Source organism: Homo sapiens, chromosome 7 (genome assembly GCF_000001405.40).
Source record: "Homo sapiens chromosome 7, GRCh38.p14 Primary Assembly".
NCBI classification, from domain to species: Eukaryota; Metazoa; Chordata; class Mammalia; order Primates; family Hominidae; genus Homo; species Homo sapiens.
In genome coordinates, this window is record NC_000007.14 from 27,319,491 (window position 1) to 27,320,606 (window position 1,116).

A 1,116-nucleotide genomic window follows, 5' to 3' on the forward strand; every position below is an offset into this window, starting at 1 on the left:
ATTTCTTCATCTCTCTGAACATTTTAAACATTTATTTTGAGGGTCCCTCAGACCAATTTTCAAATTAAAATTACTCTACGATCTGTAGTTTGTTGGGTGTGAATTATCCTATTTCTTAGGTCTGTGGGCTAGGTTCCTTGAATCTCTTTTTCCACGAGAGTCACATGTGTGCGTTAGAGTTGTTTCATAGCGTTCTCTGCTCGGGCCCTATATTCACCAGTTCTATTTTTTAATGTTGCCCAGGCTGGACTTTGAACTCCTGGGCTCAAATAATCCCCCTGCCTCAGCCTTCTGAGTAGCTAGAACTACAGGCATGTGCCACCATGTCTGGCTTGATGCAACTTTTGTTTTACTTTTCGGTTTGGGGTTTCTTAATGGCAAAGATAGTATACAATTTGGAGCCCATGCTCAGAAAGGCTTGGAGGTCTGGTTTCCTGAGAATGACCTATCTATACTTTCTAATTAGAGAGAATTTTGCTAGAGGAAATAGAAGAATTTAGCTAGAAAAGTAAAGCATGACATTTAATAATGGATTCTTGAGTTAGATTGACTTAAGTTCAAGTTCTGTCTTTATCAGTTAGCAGGTATGTGACTTCATTAAAGTTATCTAATTTTTCTGAGCATACATTTCCTCATTGTAAGGTGGAATATATTCACTTCTTAGCTCATGGATGTTAATCACCATTAGTTATGATTTCTAGCTGCAGATCAAGGACAAAGGAAAATTTCTTTGTACCAAGTACCTCAGCCCAAGCAGGAAGACCTATTGAAGGAGCAGGTCAAGGGAAATATCTGTAAAAGTTGGAGAAATGCCCTCCAGTTGTCAGCATCAGGAAAGTGTGAAGGGTGAAAGGTAGGAACACTTAAGACATGACTGTCTCTCCTGCTGTGTGGTCATTATTCCTTACTGTCTTCCCCTAGCCTCTCAGTCAACAGGAACCATGTTGGTCAATGGTAGCAGCGTCTAAGGTATCAATCTTCATGATGACCAGTGCAATCTGCCTAAGGGCAGAGGACTTTTTAAAAGTGCTAAGTGAATACTATAATCATTTCAGGATAACTATTATTGAGTTGAAAAATATGAGATAAAAACAAAGTAAATCACTTTTATTATTT

General features: G+C 38.5%; 1 annotated feature.

The window, feature by feature from the left end:
* Positions 615-1,116: an enhancer, noted in NCBI's record as "NANOG hESC enhancer chr7:27359724-27360225 (GRCh37/hg19 assembly coordinates)". NCBI's record gives its function as "activates a minimal SCP1, AML or CMV promoter by ChIP-STARR-seq in naive H9 embryonic stem cells {active_cell/tissue: H9 hESC(naive)}" and the evidence as "EXISTENCE:reporter gene assay evidence [ECO:0000049][PMID:30033119]".